The sequence below is a fragment of the Homo sapiens genome, chromosome 10 (assembly GCF_000001405.40).
Source record: "Homo sapiens chromosome 10, GRCh38.p14 Primary Assembly".
NCBI lineage: Eukaryota > Metazoa > Chordata > Mammalia > Primates > Hominidae > Homo > Homo sapiens.
In genome coordinates, this window is record NC_000010.11 from 47,401,660 (window position 1) to 47,420,016 (window position 18,357).

General features: G+C 54.4%; 1 protein-coding gene and 2 long non-coding RNA genes across 3 annotated transcripts, besides 3 other annotated features; 1 reads left to right on the forward strand and 2 right to left on the reverse strand.

The window, feature by feature from the left end:
* The first annotated feature begins 5,505 nt into the window (after nucleotides 1-5,505).
* LOC107001062 (uncharacterized) lies at nucleotides 5,506-12,915 on the forward strand. The gene is made up of 4 exons (NR_134500.1): nucleotides 5,506-5,894; nucleotides 5,989-6,047; nucleotides 12,202-12,273; nucleotides 12,837-12,915. It is a non-coding gene; the product is annotated as an uncharacterized LOC107001062 (long non-coding RNA).
* LINC03029 (long intergenic non-protein coding RNA 3029) lies at nucleotides 11,728-12,816 on the reverse strand. Its single transcript, NR_134499.1, has 3 exons — nucleotides 12,775-12,816; nucleotides 12,428-12,584; nucleotides 11,728-12,194 (listed from the first exon to the last, which is right to left on the reverse strand). It is a non-coding gene; the product is annotated as a long intergenic non-protein coding RNA 3029 (long non-coding RNA).
* Nucleotides 12,025-13,224: an enhancer, noted in NCBI's record as "BRD4-independent group 4 enhancer chr10:48324479-48325678 (GRCh37/hg19 assembly coordinates)". NCBI's record gives its function as "activates an origin of replication core promoter dependent on BRD2, P300/CBP, MED14 and CDK7 cofactors, and independent of BRD4, by STARR-seq in HCT116 cells {active_cell/tissue: HCT116}" and the evidence as "EXISTENCE:reporter gene assay evidence [ECO:0000049][PMID:35650434]".
* Nucleotides 12,025-13,568: a biological region, named in NCBI's record as "BRD4-independent group 4 enhancer GRCh37_chr10:48324479-48325678".
* Nucleotides 13,068-13,568: an enhancer, noted in NCBI's record as "H3K4me1 hESC enhancer chr10:48324135-48324635 (GRCh37/hg19 assembly coordinates)". NCBI's record gives its function as "activates a minimal SCP1, AML or CMV promoter by ChIP-STARR-seq in naive and primed H9 embryonic stem cells {active_cell/tissue: H9 hESC(naive and primed)}" and the evidence as "EXISTENCE:reporter gene assay evidence [ECO:0000049][PMID:30033119]".
* On the reverse strand, nucleotides 14,441-16,796 carry LOC124902420 (uncharacterized). Its single transcript, XM_047426116.1, has one exon. The coding sequence runs from the start codon at nucleotides 16,686-16,688 to the stop codon at nucleotides 14,712-14,714; it is 1,977 nt and encodes a 658-aa protein (XP_047282072.1). The 5' UTR covers nucleotides 16,689-16,796; the 3' UTR covers nucleotides 14,441-14,711.
* Nucleotides 16,797-18,357: the final 1,561 nt, after the last annotated feature.

Consider the following 18,357-nt stretch of genomic DNA (forward strand, 5'->3'; position numbering starts at 1 on the left):
GTCTGATGGACCGTGATTCCCAAGAGCTCTGCCCTATCCAATCACAGATGGTTGGGGATGGATAAACCCCCCGGGTAAGTGGGAGCAAGGAGAGCCAGCATATCAGAATTGCTCAGGGCTTTTCAGCTGGGACATCCTCCCACAGTTCTTATCTACACGGCCCCCAGCTAAGGTAACCAGTCAGCTATCCTCCTAGTCAGCTGACTATGGTAATAGTCAACTATTAGCAAAAAATGTACCTCATCCCTGAAAGCCTGTTGGTCCCAGACAGACAGGTCTGGGTGGTCACCCTAATGAAAGTCACCACCCAGATGATCCACTGTGGTTGCTGGGGGTGTACCCCAGCCAAAGCTCTGCTGGGGTCGGGGGAGCTTGTTAAGAGACTGCTAGGAGGCTGGAGTGGACAGACACCTGCCCACCAGACAGATGCGCCTCAACTCCCTAACACAGGTCTCCTTTGTTTTCAGGCCCAGCAGCCTGGATTCCTGCCTTGACCTTTATGGCTCTGCAATACAGAAGAGATTGCAGAGAAATAAGTAAAGTGAGGCTGCAGCCTTCCCTGCACTGCAGGAAGCTTTTCCTCTGGCAGGTAGAAAGCACAACCCATCAGATTGGGTGGGCGTGGGAGTTCCTCGGTGGGGGACACAGAGCACAAAGTGGCATTCTGAAACAGGAATGAGGCCAGCGCTCACTGGTTCCATTGGATCTCGGCAGCCTTGGCTGGCTCCTGCCTGTGAGCCCTGGGAATACTTGAGCCCCAAGTTTGCCCTTGGGGACATCGCAGGCTGGGAAGGGACATTAGGTAGGTAAATCAGTGACTCAGTCCCGGAACCCTGGGTTATGCACTGCCGAGGGTTCAAGGAAAGGGACAAAGAACTCACATGGAAGGTTAAAGGAAAAAGCAGGAACTCCTAACGACAAAGTCAAGAGTGGCTTCCAGGGATGTGGGTCTTTGAACTGGGTCTTGCAGGATGGAAAAGACAAAACACTTAATTCACAAGCCTCACATTTTCCCTGCAAAACTTGAAATATTTCCCACCACAGGGGACCTGTGGTGGAGTGAGTGGTCTTGCTTGGCTTAGCTTGCTGAGCTAATGAGGTTAGCTCAGGCAGGGCTGGGAGAGGGCTGGGAAGGTCAGTTTGAGGCCAAAGCCACAGGGGCTCATTATGCCAGGCCAAGGAGCTGAGATTTCCTGCTGTGAGCCATAGACAGCCAGAGAAGGCTCTTGAGCAGAGGAGTGGGATGATCAAGGTGGCACTTAAGGAAGAAAAGTCTGATGACTGTGGGTAAAATGAATGGGCAACAAGGGCAGGATCCATGGGGAGCTCCGCTGGGGATGTATGGCAGCACTGTCGCTGAGGGCCACTGAGGGCCAGCCGGCAGGAAGGAGGGTCAGGGAGAGGAAAGGAAGGCTGTGTGCATGGCTGCCAATAGGATGAGTCACTCCTCTGGGATGAAGGAGGAATGAGGGAGAGGAGGGGGAGGAGGGAATGGGGTGAAGAGGCAAAGAATTTTCCAGTAGAAGGGAGGCCAGCTGGGAGGGCTGTGTGTGCATCTCCCTACTTGTTCAGCATGGGGGGTGTGTGTGTGTGTCCATGTGTGACTGTGTGTGTGGTATGCATGCATGTTTGCGCATGTGTGTGCGTGCATGTGTGTGTATGTGTACGTGGTGTGTGTGAGTTTGAGTTTCTTTGGGGTGTGTTGGGATTGTGGGGATGCAGCAAGTTGCCATCCTGACTTTCTTTTGTGGATCCCTCGTCTCCACAGGCCTCAGAGTCCACTGCATTTATCTCACTTCCCTGTGTCCAGCAAGGGGCCCCAAGATGGAAGAGTTGGGGTGGGAGGTGGGGAGTGGGCCTCACCGCCCTGGCTATGCTTGGGTCCAGTGCAGCCAGTGCCTCTGGCTTCTCAGGGCCATGTGCTTCCTCCCCAGCCTGAGAATGTAGCTGTCTTTCATCACCTACTCCACGGAGGGCAGCATCGTCCCACAGCTCACATTCACCCCAGGCAGGGGAGTGCTGCTTTGAGCCCCCAACGGAGGCCTGAGAGGCTGGGCCAGAGGGAGCTCCAGAGAGCTGTGGGGCTCCCTGAGACCTTGGTTGGGAGCCTGACAGCACACAGGGCAGGCTGCTCAGGGCATCTCACAGTACCCACCCTGACCCCAATGCCTGTTCCCCTGAACCCTCTGACCCCTGGTTGCACTGTTACCTGTAGCCCCTGTGCTCCCGAATTTCTTGGCCTCCCTGACCTTCTCTGTCCCCTGTCCTCCCTCTGCCCTACCTCCTTCCCCAGAGTGCGGGGGCTGGTGGGCAGGTGTGTGTGTCCTGTGAACACCTGCCTGTGCTGGCTGCTGCTCTCTGTGTGCCCCTCTCTGCTCTGGCCTTCTCTATGGGAGGGAGACAGGGTCAGGGTAAGGGGGAGTGCTGGAGAGTTTAGTGCAGAAGAGCTTGGTCCCCTGGTGGGTCTCAGACAGGGGAGACCATGGGTGGGGTCCTGAGCCCCAGGCCAGGCTGGGGAGCTGGAGGAAGGCAGGAGGAGCAAGCTCAGGCAGCTGGAGTTGGCCTAGAGGGGTGCCCAGGCCCAGCAGGAGGCACTGCAGAGCTCCTGATTGGCAGGAGGTAAGAACACTTCTGATGCAAATGCCTGGAACTGGGCACTAAGAGGGTGAAGCACAGAAGAGAGCCGAGGATCCTGAGGACTGGATGGGGGCCTGGGCCCCACTTACAGCTTTGAGGAAGAGCTGGGACGGGGCTTCTGCTCCCTGAGCTGGGGGAAGGCTTGAGTTTGTGCATAATGTGCTGTGGGTTTGGGAGAGGGAGACCTAGGTGGGCATGAGGGCGAAGAAAGCAAGTTCACGGGGAAGGACTCTGGGTGGTGGCCCAGAGGGGCAGCAGGGGCTGGGCAGGGCCTGGCCTCCTTCCCTCCTGGGCTGAGGCTCTCAGAGCTCCCCCACATGGCAGGGACTCTCTTCCTGCAGTGCGAAGCCAGCCTTCAGGGTCCATGCTTGGCCCAGCCTTGCTGTGCTGGCTCAGCCTGTCACATTGGATTAGCCTGTCCCAGTCCTGCCATCAGAGCCAGCTCTGCCTGGCCCAACCAGTCCTGTCTGCTTTAACAGAGGCTGACAGGCCACATCCCCGAGCCAGCCTGCCGTGCTCAGCTGCCTGCACACCCTTTGGGGCCGCTTCTTTCAGCCTTTGGTCTTTTGGTTTCGGGAGCACAGGAAGTCAAGGAGCCATAGCACTCTTATTAAGCAGATTTGCTACTTTGGTAGGATAAAGAGAGTGGAGGAGATTGAGTCAGGGTCAGGGGTCTGGAGTTGTGGGTGCTGGGTGCAGGGCTGGGGGCTTAGCAGGATGCCTTTTCCGAACTCAGCCCTGCCTTTTGAAGGATACGTTGCCCAACACAAGGGAAGCCCTTAGGGTTAGGTTTAGGATTAGGATTAGAGTTAAGATTAGGAATGCCAGTCCCATTGCCTGTCCCTGAATCTCAGTTGCATGCCTTTGGATTAGGGTTAGGGTTAGGGGTTAGGGGTTAAGGGTTAGGGGTTAGGGTTAAGAAAGCTGGTCCCATTGGAAGGGCCTGATTTGTAGTCACACATCTATGGGATGCTCCCATTTCACCATGGAGGGTTCATGCTGGGCCTTTATGAGCTCTCCAAAGTCTAAGTGCCCTGAGACAGGCATGAGCTCAGGGAAAGCGAGGCTATACCCAGGGTACCAGCTAAGCAGCCCCTAACCCCACACCCTCCCTCCCACTATGCTTACCAGATCAGAGACAGAGAAAACAAAAATATCTCTAGTCAAAGTCACAGCGATGAATGAGCATGATAAGGTATGTGCCTGGCACCCTCCTCCATTCAGGGAGGTCTTCACAGTAGACAATGGCTCCAGGAGAGCTCGGGAGCTGTTTTGTAACATTCCATCCCTCTCCACCTCAATCTTTTTTTTTTTTTTATTTTTCTCAGAAAAACAATCCATGAACATCTTACCTTAACAGAGGATCTTGAGTCTCATGGACACACATTCATGCAGGAAGGAGGTAAAATGGTACAGACCACTAGAGCTCACAGAATGTGTTCTAGTTCCTCATGCTCTTAGGGTATTACTGGGGTCGCCTCACTGTGCATTCTTAGAACATCTTCATTTCCTTACAAGCAAATTAGTAGATTCAATGTGTCAACTCCAGAGGTAAGCCCTCCTGCTATCCCCATGGTGGTCCCATAGGGTGAACAGAGCTGGGAATGGGCCTCAGAGAGCTCTGTGTGCAGATTCCTGCCCTGCTTCTTGGAGCAAGTTGCTCACCTGCTCCGAGCTCCAGGTGCCCTCCCAGGTGCAATGAGCATAGTAATCCCCCGTTCCATGGAGTTCTGAGAACTGTGTGGGATCCTGCGTGTGCAGTTCTGGTGCTCATAACCCTTTGGTGCTTGCCCTCCAGCTGGGCTGTGTGAAAAGGAAGAGAAGAGCCAAGGGGTTTGCCCCCTTGCACACACCTTAGTCTTCCTCCTCCCTTCCTCGTGTCCCCTTCAAGCGACTTTCATCACCTGATCGTGTCTCAGATGGTACAGAAGGCTGTCCACAGCCCCCGACTCCCTTCCCCACTGTGGGGCTGCAGGTCTTGTCAGGAAGAGGCGGGGCTCGTGGGGAAAGGCATTGAGGTGGCCATGGGATCCCCTGCCCAGGTGCCACTGACCTGGAGTCCTGAACTCCTGGGCCCAAAGATGTTGGCAGGGCTGCCCGCAGGCTCTGCCCATGGGACTGCCCGGCTGCTCCTCCCCCTGCCTGTGGGACAGGCCTGTGCTTGTGGAGCTCTGGCTGGAGCTGCCCTCAGGCAGAAGTGGTGCAGGCTGCTAGTGGGTGAGGGTTCAGGCAGAGTGATGGGAAGGGCCCTGCCCCTCTCCATCCCTCCTCTGTAAAATGGGTACCAGGCTGAGGCCCCGCATCACTCTAGGGGTCTCTGGGTGGCAGGTGCTTGGGTCTTGGCAGCCTCTCCCCTGGAGGATGAGGTGGGGGCACCTGGCCATGCCTTGGAATGAGCAGTGCTGCGGGCCCAGCCAACTGCAGGGGTCCCGGAGCTTCTGGAGGTCACTCCTGATGCCTTTGCTGAGCAGGTCACTCCTTGCTTCTTCTGCAGACAACAAGGTTACCAGCACGATTATTGCTATGACCAGTGGAGCACAGGTGCCAAATGCATTTCAGGACACTCTCAAAGAAGCCAGTCAGGTTCATAGTTACCAGTATTTTGCTCCACCCATTTTGATGACTAATACTCAATACCTTCAAATGCATTTCAGGAGACTCTCAAAGAAGCCAGCTGGGTTCACAGTTACCAGCATTTTGCTCCACCTATTTTGATGACTAATGCTCAATGCCTTCTTTCCCTTAGGCTGAAAGGCTGGGAGCCTGGGGGCCACCGTTTACACCCTGGGTGTGGCTGATTATAAGATAGGCCAGGTCATTCTGAACTAGTAACCAGGCACCACTCTGGAGCTGAGTGGAGAAAGGCATCCCAGGCGGCTTTCCCAGGGCCACCACAAGGACAGTCATCTAACTTGCCCCCAAGTGATTTGGGCCAACCCATGGCCACTGCAGAAGTGACTGACAGCGTGTTGTAGAAATCCCACCACACCAAAAGCGGGGGCGGAAGAGTTCCCCACTCCCTGATAGTGGGCTGCTGGCTAGAGAAGGCTGTGGCCCTGACAGCCTGACATTCTGCTGCCCCCAAAGCATGGGGGCAAGACACTGTCCCCTGAGCCTGTGACCTGCTGCATCCTCACCTCCTGGGTGGGGGTCCAAGCCACGTTCCCTCTCTGAAGATAACAACAATTGCCCACAGCCTGGACCGCATGTTTGCAGTGGGTCATGGAGTTTCTGAACAGCATGGCCTAGTGGACAGAGTGAGTGGGGCCAATTGGAGAGGTGGTGGGGGCCTGGCTCCTGTGCCCTGAGGCTCACACTCCCTGCCCCTTTGTACCTCGCTCTCTATTCCAGATCGGAACACAAGGTGTCTTGAGGTGAAGTCTGTGGAGCCTCCACTATGTGTGCAGGAGGTGAGCACTGAGGAGGCCCCGCTGTAGTAAGAAGGGTATGTGCTGCATGTGTGGTATATGGTGTGTGTGGTGTGTTTTGTGATGTGTGTATGTTGGCTATAGTGGGTATATGGCGTGTGTGGTGTGTTTTGTGATGTGTGTGTGTTGGCTATAGCGGGCATAGGGCGTGTGTGGTGTGTTTTGTGATGTGTGTGTGTTGGCTATAGCGGGCATAGGGCGTGTGTGGTGTGTTTTGTGATGTGTGTGTGTTGGCTATAGCGGGCATAGGGCGTGTGTGGTGTGTTTTGTGATGTGTGTGTGTTGGCTATAGCGGGCATAGGGCATGTGTGGTGTGTTTTGTGATGTGTGTGTGATGGCTATAGCGGGCATAGGGCGTGTGTGGTGTGTTTTGTGATGTGTGTGTGTTGGCTATAGCGGGCATAGGGCGTGTGTGGTGTGTTTTGTGATGTGTGTGTGTTGGCTATAGCGGGTATATGGCGTGTGTGGTGTGTTTTGTGATGTGTGTGTGTTGGCTATAGCGGGTATATGGCGTGTGTGGTGTGTTTTGTGATGTGTGTGTGTTGGCTATAGCGGGTATATGGCGTGTGTGGTGTGTTTTGTGATGTGTGTGTGTTGGCTATAGTGGGTATATGGCGTGTGTGGTGTGTTTTGTGATGTGTGTGTGTTGGCTATAGTGGGCATAGGGCGTGTGTGGTGTGTTTTGTGATGTGTGTGTTGGCTATAGTGGGTATATGGTGTGTGAATGTGCGCAGTATGGTGTGTGTGCTGTGGAAGTTGCGTTTGGATGCATGTGGTGTTTGTGCGTGTGTATGTGCTGTGTGAGTGTGTGTTGTGCATCACGTATGGTGTGTGGTGTGTGTGGTATGTATATGGTGTTTAGATCATGGATGTTTCTGGTACAGTATGTTTATGTTGTGTCTGTGGTATATGTGTGCTAGTTGTGTGTGGTATAGTGTGTTTGTGGTGTGGGTGTTGTATCTGTGTGTATGTGGTGTGGGCATGCACAGCAGCTAACCCGGCCCATAGGCCGGGAGCAGTCAGGGTTCATCTCAGGAATCCCAGGCAGGCGTAGGAGCTGAAATATCTGTGTAATTTACCACATCAACAAAACGGGAAATAGGAACCAGGCAATTTTCTCAGGGGGATGAGGAACAAGAAGTGGGGGTGTCAACATCTCCTTCTGTTCCTGGGAACAAAAGGAAACCTCCGTAACCAGAAAAAGCCATCCACACAAACACCCTTGGTTCTCCTCGGCCCCAAAGGATAAAACCCAGCACCCATCCCTGCTGTCTGGGATGTGGAGAGAATGTCCTCTTGCCAGCCAGGGTCCCAGCATGTGTGGAGACAGCCCTGTGAGGGCCTCTGTGATGACCCCTGTCTGTCTTGAGTTCTGTCTGTGTAGGCTGGGGCTCTGAATGGCTGACGTTTGTACAACTGCAGCTGCTGCAAAGGAATAGAGCCCTGGGCATCCTCCCTCCAGGGGTACAGCATGAGGCCCTTAGCAAGACCACCAGGCCCTCCAGTAGCTGGGCTCTGGCATCCGTGTTCCTTACTGCAGAGCACCCTGGCAGTAGGCTGTGGGGACAGACACATGGTCCATGTCTGAGCTCTGCTCTCCACGGGCACATGACCAGGAGAAAATAGTCCAATTCCAGTGAGCTCCAGAGGTGCCTCACATGAACAGAAAGGACGCTGTCAGGCCTGTCGTGAGTCCCAGGGCACTGGGCTGTGCAGGGACTGGCACAGGGCTGCGAGCTGGCAGGTCCCAGAAATAGGGGCTGTGCTGACACTTCCATGATTGGTCCTGGGGTCTGTCCCCGACCCCGCCTCTCCCCCATGCAGAGCTGAGGATGGGGGTGGAGTAGAGAGAGCTCCCCTCCCCCTCGGGGTCTCTTTCTGCTGTTCCTGGTTTAAAGCCACTCAGCCGTGCAGCAGTGTGACAGCTGCGCTCCTCTGATGATGTCCCCTGGACATGCACAGGCTGTGGCATCTGAGCAGCCCTGTCAACCCCAGGTGAGGATGTGAGTCGTCACCCCTCACTGGAGGCAGCCGAGTCGAGGTGACAGGTGCCCTCTGCCCACCAGCTCGGCCCTCTGCCTCTGCTCATGTGGCCTGGCAGTCACGGCCCTGACCTGTCAGCTGTTGGCCAATTGTACAAAGCCACCCCACATGGAAGGTGACAGTCACAGCAGGGAAAGGCCAAGGCAGGAGCCTGGAACCCAAATGCAACAGAATGAGCCCTCTCAGCAGGCTGCTACCAAGAAGCCATGAGGACTCCAGGGAGCCCAGGAAGGAGCCCAGGGAGGGAGGCACGCAGCCCAGACTCCCCCATTCAGCCCTGGGCCTCATATCCAGCCTGGCAGAGGCCTCTGCTGGGCTAAGGACCAGCCTGGAGCAGTGAGGCCCTCCAGGGGCCACTCCCTGCTCTGGGCACCCTGTGCAGAGGTGGGACCAGGTGGGGCATAGGCACTCTGCAAGCCCTGCCTCACCTTGAAAGGCCGAGCCCACCTGCCCTTTGCAGCCCTGCTCGAAGGGCACCTTGTCCTGGAAGCCTTCCCTGATGACCAGCCCCTCTGACTTCCTGCAGTCCAAGGGCTTGGTCTGTCCCTCTCATCAGTCACTTGTCACCCAGGATGTACCATGACTTCTGGTTGTGTGTGTCCAAACATAATTTTCTTATTTAGTTCTTTGTTTTTCTTCTAACCTTTCATTATTAAAATGTTCAAACTTTACAGCCAAGCGGAAAGGATTGTGCAATGTACACGCCTGTTTCCATCGTGGGGATTTTTAATTAATGCTTGACCATGCTTGCTTTATCCTGTCTCTATGCATGTCTTCCTCTCACTGTCTCTCTTTCTCTCCACCAATTCATCTTATTTTTGGATGCATTCAAAATATTTTACAGTCCTCAGGGTACTTTACCCCTAAACCCTTCAGTTCGTATATCTTTAACTAGGGAACAATATTTATTAAGTTCTCTTTTTGCAGTGCACAAATCTTGTGTGTCATCTGATGAGTTTTGACAAGAGCACACACATCTGTGTAACCACAGACCCTGTGAAGATGTGGAATGTTACTATGGCCCCCAGAAAATCCCCTCAGACCTCTCTGTGCATGTGGCTCAGTAGTTCCCTGGGATTGAGACAAGAAGTGGAATTGTTGCATTAAGGGCACACACTTGTGAAACGTTCTTCAGTAGTGTTGCTTTTCTGTCCAGGAGGCCATACCAAGCAGTGTGCGGGAGTCCCAGTCCCCACCGCCACCCCCAGCACAGGTGACTTCTATCTGTGTCCTGTTGCCCTTCTGGTAAGTTGTCAGCCCTACAACACTGCTCAGGACTGCAAGGACTTGACCCCTGTGGCCTGAGGGAGCACTGTAGGATTTCAGGGTGGAAAGCTCCAGCTGAACTGCCCCCGTGCAGAGGCTGAGGCAGGGTGCCTTTCCTGGGTTCCTTGGATTAGGAAGGGTGTGGGAGTCCTCCTGTGGGCTCAAGGCCCAACCACCTCCTTGTGGACCCTCAGTGACACCAGATGAGGATTTGGTCCAGTGGACACACAGATGTTCATTCAGACACAGCCACTTCCTTGTAGGGAAGCCCCCTGGGAATTCAGTTTTGGGGATGGATCACCAGGAGCAGGGAGGTCAGAGTGGAGAGAGCCCTCCACTCTTCCTCACTCAGACTTTTGAGTGTTGTTCTTGCAGAATCCAAGCAAGTGATTATTCACGGATATGACTTTAATAATGCAAAGAGCCAGGACCAAGTTATTTGCAGATTCTAGTTCAGCAAAGCCAAAGTCATTGATAAGTAGCCTCCTCTGAAATCTGAAATGATCCAATGAGCTTTTCCTTTGAGCATCACGGTGACATTCAAAGAATTTCAGATTTTAGAGCACTTTGGATTTTGAATTTTCAGATTAGGGATACTCAACCTAACTAAGCAAGATCACCTGTGTAGAGCAGCTGGCACAAGTATGGACTTTATAATATTTTAAACTCTCCTATTGTTTGGCAACACTCAGGCATCCGGGGACCTCTGCAATTGGGGAGTGGCCTGAGGAAGCGCACAGTCTAGGCAGCCAATGTGCCCTGGGTCCTGAGCGAGTGTGCTCTTCCCCGCTGAGTGCCCGGGGTGCAGTTGGATTTTCTGCATCCCCCTCAATTCTTCCTCTTGACCCCTTGTTACATTCATTCCATCTGATCATGTTATGTTCAATGGCCTCTTATTCAGGGTCATCTAGTAAACTTGGAATGACTCCTCTCCCTGCAGGATGCTTCTCAGCCATCTCTCCTCCTGTCCCTGAGTATATAGAATGGGGAAGAGGCTGTCATTGTCACATTCTCATGTGGCAGAGTTGTGTAGATGGTCTCAGGCCATTAAGATTCCACTGACGTATACTTTCGTGGGAGTGGCTTAGGGATGGAGCAGCCCCCTCCTAAGGAGAGCTACCGGGTATTGAATGCTTCTCATATCAGATATTGTGCCAAGTGCCTCACACTCAATATCTCCATGAATTCTCAAAGCAGCCTTACTGCATTTCCTTTGCATGGGTGGATGGCCAGGGCAGGGGTGATGGAAGAGCTTCCCAGCACCACACACCTGGAGAGTAGACCCAGGAGATCTATCTGCCCAGTGGGGGCCTTCTGCGTCCCTGAGATGATGGTTTTTGGGGAAGGCATGGCCCTGCCTACCCCCAGGAAGTCCATTCAGATGCCTCCTCTGCCCGCCTGTGGGTGCACTGGTTTCCTGGAGGGCACTAGTTTTTTCTCCAATGTGGGCCAGCACCAGGTCTCACATAGGAAAGCCCATGCCACAGTCCTGGGTACCTCTGCAGATGGCCACCCTGCTCCTGGTTGGTGCCTTTGCAGAAGTGGCCGGGCATGGCTGCCTGTTGCAGGGAGCTCGGATGTACTGAGGAGTGACTTTGTCATTAATTACATTTTCCTCTGAAGAAAACATTCGAGAAACATTTTAGAAATAGGGAAGCAAGAAGACATATTCAAAGCTTGATGTTTCTATATGCTTCATGTTTTCTGTCTTTATAGGCTATGTTTTTGTGATTTAAGAAATTTTTTAATATGGTGACTGAAGTATGGGTTTAATCGGTTAACCTATTTGAAAACTCTTTTCCCAGCAGCCCGGTGTTGCTGGACCCTCTGCCCATCTTGACCCTGAGCCATGGCCTCAGGGTGCCAGTGCCACCCGCCCTCCCCAGGAGCTCCCTGAGCTCTCCTGAATGCCATTCTGCAGTCAGGTCACACATCTTGGGGATTTTTACCCCAGTAATCCCACTCTTTCCATCTCTCAAAGTGAATCTGTTTCCTGATCGTTATCTTTATCAGCACCAAGGAAGAGGTCAACAGTTTAGAAATTCATGGCTAATCTGACCATTGTGTTCAGGTCAACAAATTGTTCCATGTGGAAATGAGTCATTTTGTCCATAGTAACCCTGACCTACATGAAAAAGAGAAAAACAATAGAAAGTAATTTTATGTATACATGAAATTTTAATTTATAAAATTATAGTATTATATTTTGTTATACATATGTACAATTATTTTTAAAGTGTTAATTATATTTTATTATAAAAATGATACAATGTAGAAAAAAGAAACATAGACAAAACATAATGAATAAAAACATTGCCCCAAATCCCAAACCCAAAGACAAGTGCTATTAACATTTTCAACTACAACATAATAAATTTAATTTTGCTTAAATATGATGGAAGAAAAAGAAAATGAAATGGGATTGAAGAAACTGTGGAACATCACACGAATGCTTCTGGTCGCCTGTGACGAAGCGGCTGTCCCTTTCTCTCTGTGCCTCTCCTTCCCTCTGCTCATGGACATCACAGCACGTTGCACTCTGCCATCTATTTTGTTCTCTATTTTTAATTTTGTTGTCTGTCTCCCATGCAGTCCTTAAAGGTGAGTCCTTGAGAGCAGGGACTCTGCCTGCCTTTCCTGTTACACATCAGAGTGCTGCACAGGGCCTGGGCGTGGCGGGTGCTCACAGGGGTCTCTGCAATGGGAAAGCAGAGCCCAGATGCCAGTCGTGGACCACAGGGTCCGCTCTGCGTGATGAGGACCGGAGGTGGGAGGAACAGTGGACGAACATGTGCATCGACATTCTTCCCATGTCATTTCCTTTTAGAAAAAAAAACAATCAGTATGGACAAGACTTTCATGACTTGCCCTGGACCAAAGATTAAAAACAACCTGGACAGTAAGTATCCCTGGCAGGAGGCTCTAGAGGGCAGGAGGCTCTAGAGGGCAGGAGGCCAGGGGTCACAGCTGGGCACTGTGAGGTGTACAGAATGTGGATGCCCCCCTGCTGGGGCAGCACGTGTCTGCGGCTGGGCTGAGAACACATTGCTCACCTCCCTTGTTGGTGGCCCCCAAGGTGTTCAGGGATCTGCAGTGTCCTAGGGATCTGCAGTGTCCTAGGGTCTGTGAGGAGGGCAGGATGCAGGAGATGATTGCCCGAGGAATGGTACCGTTGCTCCAGGTCGCCTTTCAGAGTTAAGCCAATGGACTCTGTAAATACAGAAGAGCCAGAATGGTTGACACCAAGCAGCCATTTGTGGTCACTTAGGACACAGTCACAATGACATGAAATCTCATGCAGGGCCCCTTGCTGCTGGACCCACATCCCCCTTGGCCATTGTTGCTGAGGTTGACCTCAGTGCTTTGGGGAATGAGAGCATTACCCATGCTGTCTACTCACCAAGGGCAAGAACTGCATCTCTCCGGGCTGGCTCTCACCATCTTCGCTTTCTGTGCTTTAAGGAGGTCTTTGTTGAAGCCAGCCTGAACAATGGCAGAAATGTCCTTTCTAATGACATCACTATGAAGAGCACCACCTGTGTGAGTACCAGGGTGGGGATGCCACCAACCTGGGCTGTCCAGAGGCCCTGCACTGGAATGAGATACACCCTGGGGAGGACAGAAAGAGCACACAGTTCCCAGGCAGTCCCAGAAAAGTAATGTGTGCAGCAGGCACCTGGGCCTGCTTGATCCTGTTCCAGCTGGCACTGGTGGATGAGGATTGGAGGCTGTGTGCCAGGAGCCAGAATCCAGGACCTCTAGGGTCTCCACCTTCTCCACGTGGGCCTCTCAGGTCCAGGGGATCTGGAGGATTCCACGCACTACCTTCAGGATGCGTGTGCCGCTGAACCGGTGCCCCAGCTGCTGATATGATCCTAAACCCACTCACAACCCTGTCGCCCGAGCCTGCCTGGTGGTCATCTGCTGTCATTTCCCAGATGCTGTCAGCCTCCTTTCTGACCCTCCTACCTGCTTGGGCCCCGGAGCTGTCCCTCTCTGCTCCCTCACTGAGCCCTGCAGTATGTCTTCTCCTGCTGCCGATGGGGAGGCTGTTAGGCGTACAGGCCAGGCTCAGGCCCAGCACGAGCTCTCTCCTCTTCCCTCCCTAGCCTTCTCTCTAAGCAGAAGTCTGGATTTGGGGAAGCCCTGGGCAGCCTGCATTCCCAAGGTTGCCGCCCAAAGTCCCTTTACTGTGAAGAACACCCAGGGAAGAGTTCCCGTTGCTTACACCCCATGTGGCCCTGGTTCTGAGCCAGGCCTTTTTCTGAGCTCTCTAAACCTCACAAGTGCCCCCAGGGAGGGCGGCTTATTCCCTTTGCACAAGTGTGGAGGCTGAGGCTCAGAGCGGTGCACGGATGTGCCCACGGTGCAGAGCCTGGAAGTGGGGAGAGAGGCTGTGGGTGATGGACCCGGGTCTCCTGCCCCTGCTCCTGCGCCTGCACCTCTCTTGGACACAGCACCCCCACCCTCACCTGTCTTTGTACCTGTAGATTTTGTGGTCCTCACAGAAGCCCTGTGCTGCAAGCGAGGTGTTCAGTGAGGCTAGGTTCATGAGACCAGGAAGCTTCTGGGACTTTCTTGGCAGGGCTCTAGGGCAGAGCCTTTAAGCAGGACCGAAGGAGGGGTCTGTAGCTCTCTGGGGACCAGCCCTGACTGCTAGCCTCACTGTGGTACATGGAGGAGGGACCAGCTAGGGAGAATGAGGAGTGGGCAGATGGGCCTCCAAATGGTGGGCACTGGGAAGAGGCCACCCAGGCCACTGACATTCGCATTGTCTACCAGGTGTAGTGCGTGTTAATACCTTTCTCCTACAGGGTGCCAGTCCACCACATACCACTCATCCACCACAGGCAACCCATCCATCACAGAACACGCATCCATCACAGACTACTTGTCCACCACAGGCCACTCATCCACCACAGAGCACCCATTCATTATAGAACACCCATCCACCACAGGCCACCTATCCATCACAGGCCAGCCATTTACCACAGAGCACCCATCCACCACAGAACACTCATCCACCACAGATCACCCATCCACCACAGAACACTCATCCACCACAGGCCACCCATTCACCACACAGCACCCATCCACCACAGAACAGTCATCCACCACAGGCCACCCATTCGCCACAGAACACCAATTTACCATAGAACACCCATCCATCACAAAACATCCATTCATCATAGGCCATCCATCCATCACAGAACATGCATCCACCACAGACTACCTGTCCACTACAGGCCACCCATTCATCACAGGCCACCCATCCATCACAGGCCACCCATCCACCACAGGCCAACCACTCCCCACAGGCCACCCATTCCCCATAGGTCACCTTTTCACCATAGAGCCCCCATTCACCACAGAGCAACCATCCACCACAGAACACCCGTCCATCACAGGCCACCCATTCACCACAGAGCACCCATCCATCACAGGCCAGCCATTCACCACAGGCCACCCATTCACCACAGAGCACCCATCTGTCACTGGCCAACCATCCATCACAGGCCACCCATTCACCACAGAGCACCCATCCACCACAGGCCAGCCGTTCATCACAGGCCAGCCATTCACCACAGAGCACCCATCCATTACAGTGCCCCCATCCATCACAGGCCACCCATTCACCACAGAGCACCCATCCACCACAGGCCAGCCGTTCATCATAGGCCACCCATTCACCACAGAGCACCCATCCACCACAGGCCAGCCATTCATCACAGGCCAGTCATTCACCACAGAGCACCCATCCACCACAGGCCGGCCAGCCATCACAGGCCAGTCGTTCACCACAGAGCACCCATCCATCACAGGCCAGCCATTCATCACAGGCCACCCATTCACCACAGAGCACCCGTCCACCACAGGCCAGCCATTCATCACAGGCCACCCATTCACCACAGAGCACCCATCCACCACAGGCCAGCCATTCATCACAGGCCAGCCATTCACCACAGAGCACCCATCCATTACAGTGCCCCCATCCATCACAGGCCAGCCATTCACCACTGAGTACCCATCCACCACAGGCCAACCATTCATCACAGGCCACCCATTCACCACAGAGCACCCATCCACCACAGGCCAGCCATTCATCACAGGCCAGCCATTCACCACAGAGCACCCATCCATTACAGTGCCCCCATCCATCACAGGCCAGCCATTCACCACTGAGTACCCATCCACCACAGGCCAGCCATTCATCACAGGCCATCCATTCACCACAGAGCACCCATCCACCACAGGCTGGCCAGCCATCATAGGCCAATCGTTCACCACAGAGCACCCATCCATCACAGGCCAGCCAGCCATCACAGGCCAGCCATTCACCACAGAACATCCATCCATCATAGGCCATCCATCCATCACAGGCCAGCCATTCAACACAGGCCACCCATTTGCCACAGAGCCCCCATCCATCATAGGCCACCCATTCACCACAGAGCCCCCATCCATCATAGGCCAATCATTCATCACAGGCCACCCATTCACCACAGAGCCCCCATTCACCACAGAGCACCCATCCACCACAGGCCAGCCATCCATCACAGGCCACTCGTTCACCACAGAACACCCATCCATCACAGGCCACCCATTCACCACAGAGCACCCATCCACCACAGGCTGGCCAGCCATCACAGGCCAATCGTTCACCACAGAGCACCCATCCATCACAGGCCAGCCATCCATCACAGGCCACCCATTCACCACAGAACATCCATCCATCACAGGCCAGCCATCCATCACAGGCCAGCCATTCAACACAGGCCACCCATTTGCCACAGAGCCCCCATCCATCACAGGCCACCCATTCACCACAGAGCCCCCATTCACCACAGAGCCCCCATTCACCACAGAGCACCCATCCACCACAGGCCAGCCATCCATCACAGGCCACCCATTCACCACAGAGCACCCATCCATCACAGGCCACTCGCCCACCACAGAGCCCCCATCCATCACAGGCCACCCATCCATCACAGGCCACCCATCCACCACAGTCCACCCATTCACCACAGAATATCCATCTATCACAGAGCACCCTTCCACCAAAAACCAGCCATCTATCACACACCACCCATCCACCACAGACCACCCATCCATCATAGACCATCCATCCATCATAGACCACTCATTCACCGCAAACCACCCGTCCATCACACACCACCCATCCACCACAGACCACCCATTCACCACAAAGCACCCATTAATCACACACCACCCATCTATCACAGAGCACCCGTCCATCACAGACCACTTGTTCATCAGAGAGCACCCATCTGCCGTCATAGGACACTGGTCCATCACAGGAGGCAAGTCAACCAGAGGGCTGGACTAGCAACCCACTAATCATCCAGGTCCTGCCGGCCCTGCTCCTGACCCTGCTGCTGCTTTGTGGTTTCTGGCAGCTATGTGGCAGGAGAATAAGTGCTCCCTTAAGTGCTCCCTGCCCGCCCAGCCCTGGGGCTCAGACACAGGCCCAACCTCCAAGGGACTTCAGCATGTGACTGCCGTGTGATCCCACCTGTGGGAAGTTTCTCATCAGTTCCCAGGTCATCACATGAGCCAAGGGAAGCTGTCCACACGTTCACAGAGTCTAGGAGGCCTGGGCTTCTGTAGGACCTCCTGCCACGGCTGGTCACAGCTGGCCTGAGATGCCCTGGACATGGGGTTGAGGCCTGCCCTGGCTCCTAGAGAGAAGTGACCCCAGAACCCCTGAAACCAGGGCTGCCTCAACAAGCTGGACTTCTGGAAGCCTCAGATGGACAAGGGCCAGGAGGTGGCCTCTGTGTGGAGGGAGGAAGAGAGGGTCACCCATGAGGCCCTGCTGGCCCAAATGGAGGATGGTGCTGTAACCCCCAGCTGTCTGTGCCTTGGGAAACCAGTATGGATCTTGGCATATGTCTGGTGCCTTCCACATTCCTTCATCTGTCTTTACTGAGCTCCAGTTTCCCCTGGGCCCCATGCTGGGCTGGGGAGGGACAGAAATGAAGCAGCCACAGTTCCCCACAGGGAGCTCACAGTCCTGTCTGGTCAGGGATGAGGGTGAAATACCCACCCCACAGGAATGGGAAGGGCCCCCTGTAAGGCAGAGCAGGAGTCAAAAGCAGAGATGGAGTCCAGGGCGGGGAGGGTGATAGAGGCCCTTGGAGCTGGGGTGCACGGACCCAGCCCAGAGAGCTGCAGACAGACAGAGCAGGGGGAGGAGAGGACAGAGCCCAGCCCAGAGAACAGACAGGTCTCATCTCTGCCCAGGGAGCCACGAGGGAAGGAAGCCGGGGACTCAACCATGAGGCTGGGAGGTCAGGGAAGTCTCCCAGGGACAGACAGGCTCTCCCTGAGGAAGGTAAGTAGGGTGGGCTCTCTCTTTTCCATATGGCTATGGGCAGAGAAGGACACTTGCAGGGACTGGGCCTCTCTAGGGACCTGGTCCCTGGCCTGGCTGAGCCCTAGGAACCCCACAACGGCTGTACAGGAGTTTCCCTTGGGTAAGGTTGGAGGCTGAGGCCTGGGAGGAGGAGCCTGCTGGGTACACCACAGGCTCAGAGTGCCCAGGTGGCACCCAAAGGCCATGTCCTGTCCTTTCCTGCTGCTCCAAACCAGGGTCCAGACCATGCTCTGTCCTGCTGCCCCACCCCCATCCAGCCCTGCTCCAAACCAGGGTCCCAGCTGTGTACTGGGCCAAGGCAAAGCCAGCCCACCCCCATCCAGCCCTGCTCCAGACCAGGGTCCGAGCTCTGTGCAGGGCCAAGGCAAAGCCAGCCCACCCCCATCCAGCCCTGCTCCAGACCAGGGTCCGAGCTCTGTGCAGGGCCAAGGCAGAGCCTGTCCACCCCCATCCAGCCCACGTTTTTCTCTTTTGAACATTCTAGACTGTCAAGGATCCACCACCTGTGCAGAAGCCAGAAAAAGTAAGTCGCAGTTCCGGTCCCGATATTGTCACATCCCAAGGAGCCCACTGACCTTCACCAAG

Bases quoted from the DNA above. Each gene is read 5' to 3' on its own strand.
- LOC124902420 (XM_047426116.1), bottom strand. From the start codon at position 16,688: ATGGACCAGTGTCCTATGACGGCAGATGGGTGCTCTCTGATGAACAAG.